Source organism: Homo sapiens, chromosome 7 (assembly GCF_000001405.40).
Source record: "Homo sapiens chromosome 7, GRCh38.p14 Primary Assembly".
Taxonomy (NCBI): Eukaryota; Metazoa; Chordata; class Mammalia; order Primates; family Hominidae; genus Homo; species Homo sapiens.
This window is the reverse complement of record NC_000007.14, coordinates 4,678,918-4,696,391: the sequence shown is the minus strand read 5'-3', so window position 1 is coordinate 4,696,391 and position 17,474 is coordinate 4,678,918. Positions and strand designations below refer to the sequence as shown.

General features: G+C 50.0%; 1 protein-coding gene and 1 pseudogene across 1 annotated transcript in view, besides 6 other annotated features; both read right to left on the bottom strand.

Moving 5' to 3' along the window:
• FOXK1 (forkhead box K1) overlaps positions 1–14,097 on the bottom strand; it is an 89,148-nt gene extending 75,051 nt beyond the window's left edge. The window contains exon 1 of the mRNA NM_001037165.2: positions 13,524–14,097. Coding sequence (NP_001032242.1) covers positions 13,524–14,083 — 560 coding nt within the window. The 5' untranslated portion in view covers positions 14,084–14,097. The remainder of the gene's footprint in view (positions 1–13,523) is intronic.
• SNORD13P2 (small nucleolar RNA, C/D box 13 pseudogene 2) lies at positions 6,759–6,963 on the bottom strand (annotated as a pseudogene).
• Positions 12,713–13,240: an enhancer, noted in NCBI's record as "H3K27ac-H3K4me1 hESC enhancer chr7:4722783-4723310 (GRCh37/hg19 assembly coordinates)". NCBI's record gives its function as "activates a minimal SCP1, AML or CMV promoter by ChIP-STARR-seq in primed H9 embryonic stem cells {active_cell/tissue: H9 hESC(primed)}" and the evidence as "EXISTENCE:reporter gene assay evidence [ECO:0000049][PMID:30033119]".
• Positions 13,797–13,866: a silencer, noted in NCBI's record as "silent region_17899". NCBI's record gives its function as "represses an Ori minimal core promoter by ATAC-STARR-seq in GM12878 lymphoblastoid cells {active_cell/tissue: GM12878}" and the evidence as "EXISTENCE:reporter gene assay evidence [ECO:0000049][PMID:35858748]".
• Positions 14,017–14,386: a silencer, noted in NCBI's record as "silent region_17898". NCBI's record gives its function as "represses an Ori minimal core promoter by ATAC-STARR-seq in GM12878 lymphoblastoid cells {active_cell/tissue: GM12878}" and the evidence as "EXISTENCE:reporter gene assay evidence [ECO:0000049][PMID:35858748]".
• Positions 14,017–14,394: a biological region, named in NCBI's record as "Sharpr-MPRA regulatory region 11841".
• Positions 14,100–14,394: an enhancer, noted in NCBI's record as "tiled region #11841; K562 Activating DNase matched - State 1:Tss, and HepG2 Activating non-DNase unmatched - State 4:PromP". NCBI's record gives its function as "activates a minimal TATA promoter and a strong SV40 promoter by Sharpr-MPRA in K562 cells, with weak activation in HepG2 cells {active_cell/tissue: HepG2 | K562}" and the evidence as "EXISTENCE:reporter gene assay evidence [ECO:0000049][PMID:27701403]".
• Positions 14,596–15,096: an enhancer, noted in NCBI's record as "H3K27ac hESC enhancer chr7:4720927-4721427 (GRCh37/hg19 assembly coordinates)". NCBI's record gives its function as "activates a minimal SCP1, AML or CMV promoter by ChIP-STARR-seq in primed H9 embryonic stem cells {active_cell/tissue: H9 hESC(primed)}" and the evidence as "EXISTENCE:reporter gene assay evidence [ECO:0000049][PMID:30033119]".

The following is a 17,474-nucleotide window of genomic DNA, read 5'->3' as shown; positions in this document are numbered from 1 at the left end:
CATGAGCAAAATACTAATATTTATGAGCTCACCTGTAATCCACCCACAGCCAATACACACAGTAAATCCAAGCTAGACAGAGCCTCGGCGATTTATTTCCCCTACATCAGCAAGCTTGTCCCTCTTCTTTATTATCCATCAGAATCTCCTAGATGATTTGCGTCTTTCCTTTGGCTTCAAGAAGGAGAGTTAAGACAGGGACAAATGGAAGCCTCCCCTCCTAATGTATGTCAGGGGTCAGACTCAGCACAAGATTCTTTTTTTTTTTTTTTTTTTGAGACACAGTCTTGCTCTGTCGCCCAGGCTGGAGTGCAGTGGTGCATCCTTAGCTCACTACAGCCTCCACCTCCTGGGTTCAAGAGATTCTCCTGCCTCAGGTTCCTAAGTAGTTGGGATTGCAGGTGCACGCCACCACACCCAGCTAATTTTTGTGGGAATTTTTTTTTTTTTTTTTTGAGACGGAGTTTCGCTCTTGTTGCCCAGACTGGAGTGCAATGGCACCATCTCGGCTCACCGCAATCTCTCCCTCCTGGATTCAAGCAATTCTCCTGCCTCAGCCTCCCAAGTAGCTGGGATTACAGGCATGCGCCACCACGCCCAGCTAATTTTGTATTTTTAGTAGAGACGGGGTTTCTCCACGTTGGTCAGGCTGGTCTCGAACTCCCGACCTCAGGTGATCCTCCCACATTGGCCTCCCAAAGTGCTGGGATTACAGGCGTGAGCCACCACGCCTGGCTAATTTTTGTATTTTTAGTAGAGACGGGGCTTCGCCATGTTGGCCAGGGTGGTGTCGAACTCCTGACCTGTGATCCTCTCACCCTGGCCTCCCAAAGTGCTGTGATTACAGGCATGAGCCACCGCGCCCCGCCTTGAGCCACATTTCAAACACTCAACAGCCACACATGCCTAGTGGTGGCCATGTTGGACAGCACAGATATAAAACATTTCTACCACCACAGGAAGTTCTAGACTCGCCATGGCATCCCTGATTGGCCAATCCAAAGGTAGGCAGGCCTGTAAAATCTGTCCACACCACAATTTACAGAGAAAAAGAGAATTGCAAAGGAAGCTGGATATTCTAGCAAAATCTTCTTGCAGGTTAGGAACCAAATTAGGGCTGCAAGTGTTCCCTGGTTAATATGGACTCCAACCCGAGGGAGGTGGATATTCTTAACGGAAAGATGTTTTCATCAAGCGGCGATGAATCACTGTTCCCAATGCCAGGGCTGTACAGCCAAGCAGACAGAATGGCTCCATCCCAAGGGCAGAGGTAGCGGACACAAACTTTGCAGTTCTCCTTCTTCTGGAGCCTCATGGCTAAGGCCGGCCTGTTCTGTTGTCTGGCAGTATCAGCTATCATTTTAAACATTCTTTCAAAGCCAGCTCCAAAGAGTTTACAAATCATTTTTCATTGACTAAGTTCCAGCCACAGCTTCTTGGTAAGGCGCAGGAGGTTCCCTAATTTCATCAGTAAACTGTATCCAAGTCACAGGATGGGAGGGTGTATTTCTGGGAAGGTAGACGACTAATCCCACCCGGGGCGGCTTGGGCATTTATCCGGGCGTCAGTTCCTCTGGCTCCTGGGTTTGGGGAATGAGACGGTCTCTGCTGACAGGCGCCCTGCAGCTCCCTGCTACTAACTGACCCCTGTGGACTCCCAGTCACCAGGTGAGACCCACACGGGTCATCCTACAGACAAGGCTGGCACAAAGCTCCAAATCTAGGCTATGATACTATTTTTGGGTTCCATATGCTGCCCCCAACAAAAACAAAAATAAAGACCAAGCCCCAGAATCCATTTGTGAGAGAGGGCACTGTTGGGGTCTGTGGGCGGGGCTGGGAGGAGCCTCTATCACAACTGTAGGTCTGGAAAAACAGTAAGGACCTTTCCCCCTCGTGATACAAATCACAAGAAGCAAAGCTTTTTCAGAACAGGCAGAAGATTGCTTTTATTCTCTGTGTACTGCTGATTTGCTGTGATTTATAGTGAGAAGGGAAAGAGAGAGAAATTTCCTCCAAGAGTTCCTATCAGACTGGGGAGGGAGAAAATGAATTTTTATGTTTATCCAAAGTGGCATAGTTTTTCAGAAAGTCTGCTTATTTTGATGTAAATGTTCCAAAGTAAAAAATAAAATAAAACAAAAAAAAACCTAGAAAAGTTTCATGAAAAATCCCACACAACAATGTCTCCATACAAACACATTCTGGCTGGGCGCGTGGCTCAGGCCTATAATCCCAGCATTTTGGGAAGCCCAGGTGGGAGGATCATGTGAGCCCAGGAGTTCAAGACCAGCCTGGGCAACATAGTGAGACACTGGTCTCTATAAAAAATAATAAAAAGAAAATTAGCCAGGCATGGAAGTAGGCACTGTAGTATCAGCTACTCAGAAGGCTGAGGCAGGAGGATCGTTTGAGCCCAGGAATTAGAGGCTACAGTGAGCTGTGATCATGCCACTGTACTCCAGCCTGGGCAACAACCCCTTGTCTCTACAGAAAAAAAACTTTTGTTATTTTTTTAAAGAGATTATTTGAAGCCAGATGAGGTGGCTCACACCTGAGCACACTGGGAGGCAGAGGCTAGAGGATCACTTGAGCCTAGGAGTTCAAGGCCAGCCTGGGCAACAGAACAAGACCGCCTCAAAATCAAACAAAAAAACAAGACAAATTCTGTTACTGACTTTACTCCAGGACTCACCTGGGACACCCCAACCCTGTCCCACCTCCCCCATCACTCTGCTGTTCTCCAGGGGAGGGGACACCCATATCCGTGGCTGAAAGGCCAAGGGCACCATCAGAGAGCGGCTTGGGCGACAGAGGCCCCCAGGGAAAATAACGGCAGTAACTAACAGGATGAATCGTGCCACCCTAAATCATCAAAAAATTACTGTACATTTAAAAAAATATACTAACTGTAGCCAAGTCATATCACAACATGCTAATAAGGCCAATGACTAAATTATATAACTTTATTTCTATAAAAATATGCTTTTGCTGTGAACCTAAAACTGCTCTATAAAAAGTCTATTTAAAATATGCTGTGTCACTCAACTTTTAAAACAGCTTTAAAAATTAACTGACTACAAAAAGCCTGTTCCTATAAAAGATTTCTGTTTTTAAAAACAGAGTTTATTGGGTTCGAAGGGATCAAGTTTAACTATCAGCTGAACCTCAGGATAAAACAGACTTTGTTTTTTATAATTAACATTAGAAGATCTGCATAACTCAATCAATATTCTTGCCAATGGCCAATGTATGATGTTACAAAATCACACAGGGGTGGCAAAGGACTCATTCAAAATGAAAGAGCAATAGGTTTTAACGTAACACAGTATAAAACATCTACGGATATTATAGCAGAGGATGACTTAAGGATATTATAGCAGAGGATGACTTAAGGATATTATAGCAGAGGATGACTTAAGGCCAGGAGTTTGAGACCAGTCAGGGAAACGCGGCAAGACCCCATCTCAACCAAAAATAAATAAATAAATAAAAGAAATTAGCTGGTCTGGTGGTGCTCACCTGTGGTCCCAGCTACTTGGGAGGCTGAGGCAGGAGGACTGCTTGAGCCCAGGAGGTCAAGGCTGCAGTGAGCTATGATTGCACCACTGCACTCTAGCCTGGGTGACAGAGCAAGACACTGTCTCAAAAAAATAAATAAAAAAAAAGAAACTACCCAGCCGGGTGCGGTGGCTCAAGCCTGTAATCCCAGCACTTTGGGTGGCTGAGGCAGGCGGATCACCTGAGGTCAGAAGGATGACCTGAGGTTAGGAGTTCGAGACCAGCTGGCTTACATGATGAAACCCTGTCTCTACTAAAAATACAAAATTAGCTGGGCGTGGTGGCACATGCCTGTTTATCCCAGCTACTCGGGAGGCTGAGGCAGGAGAATTGCTTGAACCCAGGAGGCGGATGTTGCAGTGAGCTGAGATCGTGCCACTGCCCCTCCAGCCTGGGCAACAGAGCAAAACTCCGTCTCAAAACAAAACAACAAAAAAAGAAACTACCCCTTGTCAGGTTTTAGTGAGGTCTCAAGGAACATCCACAATATCTGAAAAGGCTACAAAAATACTCCCTTTTCCAACTACGTATCTGCAGGAGGCTGGCTTTTCTCCATGTACTTCAGCCTGAACACGCATCACAGCCGACTAAAAGCGGAGGCAGCCATGGATTCCAGCTGTCTTCTATTAAGCCAGACATTACAGAGTTCTACCAAAAAAACTCTTATTCTTTTCTTGGGGTGGGGGTATATAGTTTTTTTTTCATAAAAATATTTTTGAAATAGAGTTATTATTACCATTTTTGAGTAGATAAATAAATATGCATATTTTAATTTCTAATACGGTCAGTGTCAACAGATATAGCTCATATAAACCAAAGCTCTTTGGGGTCCCCAGTAATGTGTAGGAGTATAAGAGTATAAAAGGGCCCTGAGACTAAAACAAATCTGGGAATTGCTGGTATAAGCAGAGAATGTCCAGCAGCCATTCTGCCCAAAGAGAACCATGCCCTTTGACACTTAGGGGAACAGGTTAGAGGACAGCTTCATAATAACAGGGTCTCTGCTGAGGGGCAGGGCCTCTTGCCCTGGGTACACGGGAGCCACTGAGGTTTCTGGGCAGAGAGGCAACATGATCAGAGCTCAGCGTCCTCTGAGGAAACAGATGGAAGACAGTTCACCCCTTTCCCAGCAAGGTTAAATGCAGTACTGAGGGCAGACGAGATTCTTCTTAATCAAATCATGTATAATGGCCTGGGCTGGGCGTGGTGGCTCATGCCTGAAATCCCAGCACTTTGGGAGGCCGAGGTGGGTGGATCATTTGAGGTCAAGAGTTCAAGACCAGCCTGGCCGACACAGTAAAACCCCCGTCTCCACTAAAAATACAAAAATTAGCTGGGCGTGGTGGCAGGCACCTGTAACTCCAGCTACTCGGGAGGCTGGGGCAGGAGAATCGCCTGAACCCAGGAGGCGGAGGCTGCAGTGAGCTGAGATTGCACCACTGCACTCCAGCCTGGGAGACAGAGGGAGGCTCTCTGTATGTCTATTGATCAGTTTGTCTACTTCCTGAAAAGTATTCTTAGGAGAGAAAAGCTACGCTTTGCAAGCAGTTCATGATTTAATGATGAAACTGTTATGTTTAAGTAAAGCAAAACATGCCCAAACTCATCTTCACAGCATCCGAGGAAAACATACATCATCAACACTGTAGAAATGGGTCAGGTGAGGCGAGTTCTTGAACCCTGGTTCCTCCGATTCCTGGCAGCACGCCACACGCCTTCTTGGTTACGCACATTCTGTTTTTTATCCTTTTTAATTACCCGGCAACATTTTACCAGGAAACTAGAAACTCGTGAAAAGTAATAGTCGCAATGAAAATTAAGTACAAGATCGCCCAACAAGTCACGATGCAGGGGCCTATTTCCAGGAAATCAAACTAAAAGCATTTTATATAATCCTCTCATTTTAATATGAAATGCTTTAAATGTAGGGTAATTATGGAAATGAGGCATTGCTGCAATTTGAGTTGTCATTAATTTAGCAAGTTTATCCTCTGACATTCACAAGATGCAAAAACAGCAAATCGTAAATTACTCTATCTCCAAATCAAATGCTTTAGTCTCATTTCAGCACAAAATTTTAAACATAGCTGCGTCTTTTTCAAAAGTACTAAATATGAACACCACTACATCCTACACTTTTAGCACCCACAAACCCTTTTTCTCCATCAGTATGACAAAGGCTTTCATGCAAATATTCTAAATTCAGTTCAATAATACTACACGACAACACCCTCCTCATAGACTGACTTTTAAAATTCTATGTAAGTTTTCTTAAATGGGCGGCAAGCCCAAAAAATTCAGCGTACACCAAATACTAGAAAGTGGCTCATAGTTTTAACTCGACCCAATGTACTTGCTACTTGCCCACAAAGCTTTTTAAAGTAACTTTAACCAGTTGACAGTCTAACTTGGAACAAATATATGTGATACACAAAAACTGCCAACTAGCAAAACACTAAGAATAAAGCCTTTATTTGGAGATGCCGCATTTCATTTCTTGGCTATCAAGATACAACCGGACTGAAACTAAAGCTTCACCCCGTTCCGCGAAGCGGCTCCCCCTCCAACCTCTGCAGCAGTGATTGTTCTCCCCAGCTCCGGTTCAAAACCATCACCCAACGGGAACATTCCTTCCTTCAGCAGATCCTGCACCTGGATCTGCTCCTCTCCAGTCCTGGGGCCACCAGGTCTCAGGAGTCGGACCTGATGCCCGTCTTTGTCTCCTCTGTGGCTTCCTTCACTAACAGACCAACCCTCCCTAATCACAGCTCTTCCCTTCGCCTTTGGCACTGCAGGCTGATCCTTCACGTGGAGAAGCGAGACAGCACCACCTGAGTTTTCACGTCTACTCGCTGGAAAGAGACTGATCTGACACCCTTTCTTGTCCCAAGTGCAAAGCCCAGCTCAGCACATACGCCCACTCCTGCACCAGCCAAGCGTGACCCACCCAGGCGCTGGGTCACCTAAGGGGACTGGGTGAGGGCAGTGACAAGGGTGGGAAAACCCCAGGAGAAGAGGAATGCCGTCACTGTCCTTGATGCCACGTAGTGGGGCATTCGACTTCCCCAGGTCTGGGGCACTTTTCCCATTAATTTCAAGATAATGTCACATCAATCTGTAACTAATTTTATGATGGTTATACAACGTATAACTAATTGTATAACTAATTCCATATTCTTCAAGTGACTAGTTGGAAATAGCCATGAGAAACTGGCTTCCGTATGTTTTACTTATTAATTATTTTTCAGGTCAGACAGGTAACATGCGACGTCGTAACAAGGTTCCAGGGTGGCACATCTCACTCGCTGCATGAAAACACCCAATTGTCATGCTCATGAACAACAAAAGGATCTCCGGATGTTTTTATAGGGGCTAAAACGTTTATGTAGTAAAATGCTTTGCTGGTTACAATTACTTTTTCTGCTGGCACATATGCAGAGGCTGTGATCCATAACACCTGCCACTCACAATACGCCTCTCAGCAGATGGAGCATGGCAACCCAGCCACGTATCCGATGCTGGCAGCCAAAATGAACCACAAAAAAGTACCGGTGGCCGGGTGCAGTGGCTCACATCTGCAATCCCGGCACTCTGGGAGGCTGAGGTGGGCGGATCACCTGAGGTCAGGAGTTCAAGACTGGCCTGGGCAACACGGCGAAACCCCCTCTCTACTAAAAATACAAAAATTAGCCAGGCGTGGTGGTGGATGCCTGTAATCCCAGCTACTCAGGAGGCTGAGGCAGGAGAATTGCTTGAACCTGGGAGGCAGGGGGTTGCAATGAGCCAAGATGGTGCCACTGCACTCCAGCCTGGGTGACAAGAGTGAAACTCCATCTCAAAAAAAAAAAAAAGTGCAGGTGAGAACAAATTAAGGGATCCAAGGCAATGACCACCAAAAGCTGCTAATGTTACAAATTGTGGGGGACACCCAGACATTTTCACCTCTGCGTGCACCACCACCTAGAAGGCAGTTCTGGCAAAAAAGCAAAACAAAACACTTGAGTCTGATGGAATCCCCGGGTCTAGTAACCAGTTTACAGGAATGACAAGGGGGAGGGACACAGTGAATGGATGCTGGCAGAATCCAATCTGTAAAGGCAGGTGTGGGGAACTACACAGGACAAGTGACTCCATGAGAAAAAAGCAGAGGGTGCCGGGCGTGGGGGCTGCAATCTCAACACTTTGAGAGGCTGAGGCGGGCAGATCACTGGAGACAGGACTTCGAGACCAGCCTGGCCAACATGGTGAAACCATATCTCTACTAAAAATTAGCCAGGTGTCGTGGCGAGCGCCTGTAATCCCAGCTACTTGGGAGGCTGAGGCAGGGGGAATCGCTTGAACCTGGGAGGTTGCAGTGAGCCAAGATAGTGCCACTGCACTCCAGCCTGGGCGACAGAGCGAGACTCCGTCTCAAAAAAAAATAAAAATAAAAAAAAGAAAAGAAAAGAAAAAACAACCATGCCGACAGTAAGAGAAACCTATGCACTGATTATTTGAGGACAGTAAGAAATTATTATTCATTTTTTAGGTGTGATAATGACACTGTGGTTTTTTTTTTTTTTTTAAGAATTCTTATCTTCTAGAAATTTTGGTTGAAATATTTATAGACAAAGTAAGATGACATCTGTGATTTGCTTCTAAAGAACTGGGGCGAGGGGGAAAGGTGAATGGGGGTGAAGATAAAACAAGCCTGGCCACAAGATGATAGCTGCTGAAGCCGGCCACAGCCATGTGGAAGCTTGTTACTCTATGTCTATGTTTGAAATTGTCCATGATAAAAAGTATGTATTTAAAAAAGCAGCTGGGCATGGTGGCTCATGCCTGTAATCCCAACACTTTAGGAGGCCAAGGTGGGAGGATCGTTTGAGAGCAGGAGTTCCAGACTAACCTGGGCAACATGGTTGAGACCCTGTCTCTACAAAATTAAAAAATAATTTTAAAAAGTAACCACATTCACTTCAGAAAACATGGAAAACACAGAAAAGTATAAAGAAAAAAAGACACCCATATGAATCTTACCACTCAAAGTTACCACAAACAGAAGTCTTGTTCTCATTGTAATTATTCAAGCCATCCACATTTACTATAAAAATACTGGGCGAAAAGGCTTTAGAGAAAGAGGGAAGAGCAAGTATGGGATATGCACAGGGTCTCAGGTTCATGAGGAAAACAAATTTTTTGAATTTTGAATTGGGTAAATGAAATTCAAAATTAAGTGGCATCAAGAATTCAGTTGGGGCCGGGCGTAGTAGCTCACGCCTGTCATCCTAGCACTTTTGAGAGGCCAAGGCGGGTGGATCACCTGAGGTCAGGAGTTCCAGACCAGCCTGGCCAACGTGGTGAAACCCCGTCTCTCCTAGAAATACAAAAATTAGCCAGGCGTGGTGACGTGCGCCTGTAATCCCAGCTACTCAGGTGGCTGAGGCAGGAGAATCGCTTGAACCTGGGAGGCGGAGGTTTCAGTGAGCTGAGATCACACCCCTGCACTCCAGCCCGGGCAACAGAGTGAGACTCCGTTGCAAAAAAACAAAAACGAAAACGAAAACAAACAAACCAAGAATTCAGTTGGATACATTAACTATGTAAAAAGGAAAAAAAAGGCCGGGCGTGGTGGCTCACGCCTGTAATCCCAGCACTTTGGAAGGCCGAGGAGGGTGGATCATGAGGTCAGGAGATCCAGACCATCCTGGCTAACACGGTGAAACCCCGTCTCTACTAAAAATACAAAAAATTAGCTGGGCATGCTGGCAGGTGCCCATAGTCCCAGGTACTCGGGAGGCTGAGGCAGGAGAATGGTGTGAACCCGGGAGGCGGAGCTTGCGGTGAGCCAAGTTCGCGCCACTGCACTCCAGCCTCGGTGACAGAGCAAGACTCTGTCTCAAAAAAAAAAAAAGAAAAGAAAAAAAATTAAGTGGCATCAAGAATGACAGCACACACACACATGTGCACACACACACCTCACCCCCCTCCCCATAACCGAAGAAGGCTGTCTGAATTCCCCCCCATGACAGGCTCATGGTCCTTTTAGGACACCAGACTAAATCGATGACGCCGTTTTTCTCCTACAGAAGCTGCAAATTCATGTGGTCATTAATTTGTTCACTCAACAAACAGAACCCAGTTGTTGCATACCTAATAGGAGCCAGTGCCTGCACTAGGTCTCTGGTGAAACATCATAAATTCTCGGCCCCAGCCACAGGGAGCTTATGGTCTAGAAGAAACGCTATCACGGAGACCCGGGCAGTTCCTCCAAGTCAACACCAAGCAAAGCTGAATCAGAACCCACGCACACTCCCCCTGTGCCTGGGAGCTCTGGCGAGATGCTTACCCACCAGGCGTAGTGTCACCCAGTAGAGCAAGATCAGCTCTAAGCTGGGTCACAAGTCTTTTTTTTCCCCCACCAATAATTAAAAATATTGAAGATTTGGAATTACGTACTTCCAGTAACAAATAGGGGTTGAATTCTGGCATCCTTCCTGAGTGGGAGCTCTACTGGAAGTGTGTGTGGCATGTACCTGTCCCAAGGTGAAGAGGGTGGCCCCGGACAACACAGCTTTGGAAAATGGTGTGGGCACCAACACAACATAGACCTCCCACCAAATCCAAGCACGTCCAAGGCAATCACATTCCAACACAGCAAGAGAATCTGTAGTTTACAGTAAACAAATTCACAATTTCCAGTAGCAGTGGCAATACCAGGTACCAAAGCCGGAGAGAAAACAGACACAGTAATTCCTGACATTCGGTGATGAATTTCCCATTCAGGGTGACAAAAACTTACGCATCTAACTTCCTTGCGCTGAAATCCTTAAAATTTCTTAATGACTTTCAACATAATAGGCTTAAGAATCGTTTTTTGGTTTTTTTTTTTTCATTTTGTTTTTTATTGAGATGGAGTCTTGCTCTGTTGCCCAGGCTGGAGTGCAGTGGCGTGATCTCAGCTCACTGCAACCTCCACCTCCCGGGTTCAAGCGATTCTTCTGTCTCAGCCTCCCAAGTAGCTGGGACTACAGGCGTGATCCACCACGCCAAGCTAATTTTTGTATTTTTAGTAGAGACAGGGTTTTGCCACATTGGCCAGGGTGGTCTTGAACTCCTGAACTCAAGTGATCCACCCGCCTTGGCCTCCCAAAGTGCTGAGATTACAGGCGTGAGGCTGTAGTCCAGGCTTAAGAATCTTTACCTAACCAAATGTAGTCCAGGCTTAAGAATCTTTACCTAACCAAAAAAGTTTATGACAGCCTGTTCTACATATGTGACTACTTAGGTGTAAGTTTTCTAAAATTAAAAAAAAAAAAAAAAAAAGTGAGGCCGGGCGCAGGGGCTCACGCCTGTATGCCTGTAATCCCAGCACTTTGGGAAGCTAAGGCAGGCAGATCACGAGGTCAGGAGATCGAGACCATCTTGGCTAACACGGTGAAACCCCATCTCTACTAAAAATACAAAGAATTAGCTGGGCGTGGTGTTGTGCGCCTGTAGTCCCAGCCACTCAGGAGGCTGAGGCAGGAGAATCTCTTGAACCCGGGAGGTAGAGTTTGCAGTGAGCCACTGCACTCCAGTCTGGACAACAGAGCGAGACTCCATGACAGAAAAAAAAAAAAAAAAAAAAGCAAATAGCTCTTTTCTAGGAGGGTGGACATGGACATCCACTTAATGTTTTTCCTTCTGCACATTTGCTTTGTTCTTGTAAATTTTACATTGCTGCCTACATAGATATTGCTCACATGTGCAGGTGAAGTCAAATAAAAACAGACAGGCGCAGTGGGCCAAGCACTTCACGCACATCTAATGCACCAAGTCAGCGGGCGGGCATCTGTGTAGCCTGACAGCCCCACCACAATGCCTGGTAATGCACCCACCGAGAACACGAGCTCCCTGGAGCATAAATGTGCAAGGACTGTATACACCGATAACATTTCATAAATAACAGGCTTGCTACTGGCCTATTCGTAGACGATCTGAGGTTGAAATTTTTTCCCCTTGAATTACAAAAAAAAAATACCGTGAAAGCCTCCTTCAAGATTCACTAAAGCTGGGCCTGACTCAGGAGTGCACCTGTTTCCACGGCAGGGGCAGGAAACCTGAAAACAAGACTTTAATGGAAGTACTTAGTGAACCTGAGTTATATAAAGGTGCGTCTGTAAAGCAGGCCTCTAAGGGGGGCCTGGGGAGCCTACCTGTCATTTTCTTACTGGAGGGGAGAGTGGCCAGGAAATGCATTTAATGGCCCCAAACGGAGAGAGTGTATTGGTTATGGAAGAGAGAGAACACACTAATATCTGAGGCAAAGAACAAATTTGTTATCTCCTGAGTTCTGATTTTACCAAAATGCACACCTTTCAGCACGGTTAGAAAAAGGTATACTTCCCCTCTCACGCCCCAAGGGGGAGTGAGTCATTGTTGATGTTGCATTTTAAATTATTCAATGCGATATCTGTAACCAAACATGCCAAGACTAAAAAAGGGGAGAAGTTTACAGACACAAACTTTGGGCCCTGGGAATTACCCCAGCAAAAATTCCCCAGACGCAAGGCGTTTATAAAAGGGAGTAATTAGACAGACAACCCTGAACAAGAACCACATTGAAGAAATATAAACACTGGTGATGAGTTAGAGGCAATCACTAAATAGAAAAAGAAAGTGGCTCCAGAGGAAATGAGTAATTAAACAGGCTTTCTCCTGATCAACAGACCTTGAGGTCCGGGGCAGAGCAGAGGGTGCGGAGGGCAGTGGAGCTGGAAAGGAGGGAACCGGAATGGGCGGGAGGTGACCACGGGATGCTACCAAAGGCACCGACAGGCCTGGGCAGCCGTCCAGGCCCAGCTGGGTCTCTCTGCCCTGGTGACCTCGGGCCCGGGGGAATCTAATTTGATCTTGGGGTCCCGCTACTCCATCCAAGGAGCACTAGTTGGGGATGTAAACTGAGGCACAGGCTTCCTGTCCTCGCCCCTCCCCGCCAGGCCTCTGCTCCTTCAGCACAGCCCACACTCCTAGGGACCTCGCACTTCCCGGAGCAACACCCTCCCACTGTCCTGGGTGAGTGTGTTGGGGTCCCCCAGGACCCAGACTGGATGGGGTGGGGGTGGCCCAAGGGTCCAGACCAGACAGGGTCAGGGGTAGCCACTGGGGTCCAGGACGGCAGGCATCAGGCACTGGGGTGACTTGAGGCCCTGGCTGGTGGGGGTCGGGGGTGGTCCTGAGAACCAGGTCAGGCTGGGGTGACCCTGGAGTCCAAGCTGGTGGGGGTCCAGGGTGACCTGGAAGGGTTGAGGGTGATCCCCAGGCCCAGGCAGCAGGGACTGGGGTCAAGGTGACCTCAGTAACCCAGCTGGGTGGAGCTGGGGTGGGAGTGGCCCTGCGAGCCCAGGCTTGTGGGGTTAGCGGTCAGGGGTGACTCCGGGGGGGCCTAGGAAGTGGGGGTCGCGGTTAACCTTGCGTGTTTAGGCAGGGTAGGGACGTAGATGACCCCAGGGATCCAGGCCAGTGGGAGTTCAGAATGACCCCGGAGTCCAGGCCGATGGGAGCTGGGGAGCAGCAGGGATCTGGGTCAGGGGTCTAAGAGGCCCAGCCAGATGGGCTTGGGGTATGGGTGGCTCCAGGAGCCCAGGCCGGTGGGAGATGAGGTCAGGGGTGACCCCAGGAGCCGCAAGGTGTGGGTCAGGGCTGACCCCAGAGTCCAGGCCGGTGGGGGTCGGGGGCGACGGGGTATCCAGACCGGGGAAAGTGGAGGAGATCCTCAGGCTGGAGCCTCCAGGATCGGGGTCGGGGTGATCCTAGGGAGCCAGGAGGCGGGGGTCGGGGTTGACCCCGGAGTCCAGGCCGGTCGGGGGTTACCGGGGGTGGGCCGGGGGGTGGGGGTCGAGGCCGAGGAAGCTGGAGGGGGATCCCCAGGCCCGGGCCTCAGAGATCGAGGTCGTGGGCGAGCCCCGGGTGCGGGCGGCGGGGGTCGCGGGGCCACTCACTGCTTGGGCAGCTGCAGGGCGGGCGCGCCGCGTCTCTGGAAGGCCCCGTCCACGAAGACGCCGTTCTTGCCGAGGCAGCGCAGGTAGAAGTGCGGCTCCTGGAAGCTGAGCTGCAGGTGGCGCCGCGAGATGAAGCTGGACAGGCCCATGCTCAAGTCCACCGAGCCCTGCGACGAGTTGCGGCCGATGGTGACGCTGGGCTGGCGCATGAGGAACTCGAACTCGCGGCCCTCCAGCCGCGCCAGCGCCGGCCCCGGGCTCTGCCGTACCGAGGCGGCCGCCGCGGCCACCAGGGCCGGCGCCGCGCCCGCGACCGCGGAGTCCCCGGATACCCCGGAGGAGCCCCCGGAGGAGCCCGCGCCCGCGATCGCGCCCGGAGGCAGCGGCGGTGGCGGCGGCGGCGGCGGCCCGGGCGGAGGCTGGGGCTGCGCGGGGGCCGGCGGGGGTGCGGCCGCGGGGAAGGCGGCGGCGGCGGCTGCGGCGCACAGCACTGGGCTGCAGGGCGCCGAGCGCAGCGCGAGCAGGGCGCGGGCGCCGCTGTCCTCGCCGACTTCGGCCATGTTCGCGCGGCTCCGAGCGGCCTCCGGCGGCGGCGGCTGCAGCGGCGGCGCGGGGGGCGGGGAGGTCGGGGCGCTGGGCGGGCGCGGAAACCCGGGCCAGATCGCGCCGGCGCGGAGCGGAGCCTCCCAGCCCACCGTGCGCCTCGCCTCGCCCGCCCGCCGGTCCCGCCCAGCGTAGCCCACGTGGCGCGCGCCAGCGCGGGGCTGGGGGCGAGGCCTGTGCCGGGAGGGCCGGCGGGCCCCCGGGAGAGCTGGGCCCGGCGCACCTCGTCCCCTCCCCGCGGGGCTGCAGGCGGCGGGCGCCCTTTCCTCCATCCAGGGGGAAGAGGGGACCCCTGAAATGCCCAGCCACAAAGTTTTGAGCCTGGGTCATTGGAGAAAGGGACGGATGACCTCAGCAGTCTCCCCGCCCCAGACACTCCAGGCCCCCAACCCTAAAGTGTAAGATAGACAGAAGATAAAATATATGTGTATTATATACAATACATATGTTTATATTCTAACCTCGCTCTGTCGCCCAGGCTGCAGTGCGGTGGCAAAATCATAGCTCACTGCAGCTTCCACCTCCTGTGCCCAAGTCACCCTCCTGCCTCTGCCTCACAAGTGCCACCACGCCCAGCTAATTTTTTTACTTCTTATAGAGACAGGGTCTTGCTATGTTGGCCAGGCTGGTCTCAAACTCCTGGTCTCAAGTGATCTATCTATCTCGACCTCCCAAAGCACTGGGATTACCCGTGTGAGCCACAGTGCCAGGCCTGATCATTCTTAAGCCCTCAGATTAAAGGTCATCATACTCTACTGTAACTGAAGACCACTTGAGATCCATCCCTGAATCCCTGATCCATCCTTCCTTCCTTCTTTCCTTCCTTCCTTCCTTCCCTTCCTTCCCTTCATTCCTTCCCTTCCCTTCATTCCTTCCTTCCCTCCCTTCTTTCCTTCCTTCCTTCCTTCCCTTCCTCCCTCCCTTCCCTTCCTCTCCTTCTTTCCCTTCCCTTCCTTCCTTTCCTTCCTTCCTTCCCTCCCTCTCTTCCTTCCTCCCTCCCTTTCCTTCCTTCCTTTCCTTTCCTTCCTTCCTTTCCTTCCTTCCTTCCCTCCCTCCCTTCTTTCCTTCCTTCCTTCCCTTCCTCCCTCCCTTCCCTTCCTCTCCTTCCTTCCCTTCCCTTCCTTCCTTTCCTTCCCTTCCTTCCTTTCCTTTCCTTCCTTCCTTCCTTTCCTTCCTTCCCTCCCTCCCTTCCTCCCTCCATTTCCTTCCTTCCTTTCCTTCCTTCCTTCCTTCCTCCTTTCCTTCCTTCCTTCCTTTCTTTCTTCCCTTCCTTCCTTCCTTCTTTTTTTTTTTTTTTGAGACGGAGTTTCGCTCTTGTTGCCCAGGCTGTAGTGCAATGGCGCAATCTCGACTCAACGCAACCTCCACCCCCTGGATTCAAGCAATTCTCCTGCCTCAGCCTCCCAAGTAGCTGGGATTACAGTCATGTACCACCAGGCCCGGCTCATTTTGTATTTTTTTAGTAGAGATGGGGTTTCTCCGTGTTGGTCAGACTAGTCCTGAAAACCCGACCTCAGGTGATCTGCCCGCCTCAGCCTCCCAAAGTCCTGGGATTACAGGCGGGAGCCACCGTGCCCGGCCGCCTGCCTGCCTTCCTTCCTTCCTTCCTTCCTTCCTTCCTTCCTTCCTTCCTTCCTTCCTTCCTTTCTTTCCCTCCCTCCCTCCCTTCCTTCCTTCTCTCTCTTTCTTGTCTTTTTCTTTTGAGACAGGGTCTCACTCTGTCACCCAGGCTGGAGTGCAGTGGTACAATCATAGCTCACTGCAGCCTCAACCTTCAGGGCTCAGGTGATTTTCCCACCTCACCCTCCCAAGTAGCTGGGACTATGAGCCACCATGCCCGACTAATTTTTAATTTTTTTTTTTTTTAAGGCAGAGTCTTAATCTGTCACCCAGGCTGGAGTGTAATGGTGCAGTCTCGGCTCACTGCAACCGATTCTCCTGCCTCAGCCTCCCAAGTCGCTGGGATTACAGGCATCTGCCACCACACCCAGCTAATTTTTGTATTTTTAGTAGAGACGGGGTTTCAACCATGTTGGTGAAGCTGGTCTCAAACTCCTGACCTCAGGTGATCCACCTGCCTCGACCTCCTAAAGTGCTGGGGCTGCAGGCGGGAGCCGCCTCACCTGGCCTTTTTCAATTTTTTTATAGAGACAGGGTCTCATTATATTGCCCAAGTTGGTGTTCAACTTTGGGGCTCAAGCAGTCTGCCACCTCAGCCTCCCCAAATGCTGGGTTACAGGCGTGAGCCACCACGCCCAGCCTATCTCTCTTTCTTTCTGGAGCCCTTCACTCATTCAATATGCTAGATCCAGCTAAGACAGATCTGAGAGAATGCCCCAGAGAGAAATCTTAGCTGAAAACAGGGAGTGGCAAACGTGGGCATCATTGGGATCCCTTTCGGACTTCAGTAGCCTGGTCCTCCATTGCCAGTTCAGGTTCCCCTAAAAAGGCGGTGCAGTTTCCACATTTCCCTCATTTACGAATTATTAAGGGTGGGAAAGGAGACACAGTTCCCTCCCTGGTGGAGCTTATAGTTGAGGGGGAGATGCAGACATAAATCAAAGACACATCCTAGAAAAAGTAAAATCAAGTCACAGCTGTGATACATCCGGTGAGGGACTGGTGCATGGTGACGTGCAAGTGTAAACGAGAGACTGGGCCTGTCTAAGGCAGGAGCTTCCCTGACCTGCACACCCACGCTCCAGTCTGGGGCTGAAATAGGTATTAATCTCATCTCTCAGCCTTGAATATGTGCATGCAGAGATAAGTGTTTGGGAGGCAAGGAAAGCTTTTTTTTTTTTTTTTTTTTTTTTTTTTTGAGACAGAGTCTCGCTCTGTTGCCAAGCTAGAGTGCAGTGGTGCGATCTCGGCTCACTGCAACCTCTGCCTCCAGGGTTCAAGCAATCCTCCTGCCTCAGCCTCCCAAGTAACTGGTACTACAGGTGTGTGCCACCATGCCCAGGTAATTTTTGTATTTTTAGTAGAGATGGGGTTTCACCAGGTTGGCCAGGGTTGTCTCGATCTCTTGACCTCATGATCCACCTGCCTCGGACTCCCAAAGTGCTGGGGTTACAGGCGTCAGCCACCGTGACCGGCCAAGGAACGCATTTTTAGCAGGAGCAGTAACTTGAGTACCTGCTTGATTGAGGTGGGGGGGATGGTAAACAGAGTCAGGGGGCTCCTCCTTGAGGTCTAAGGGATGCCTGATTAGGGAAGTGGTGTGAGACTGTGAGGGTAGTGCCCCTGCCAGGGAACTCTGTGTGATACAGAAGGAAGTATGGGCCGTGGAGGGGTAGGCAGGTGGTCACTGTGTGTGGAACCGAGTGGCCATGTTCAGCTGAACCAGGA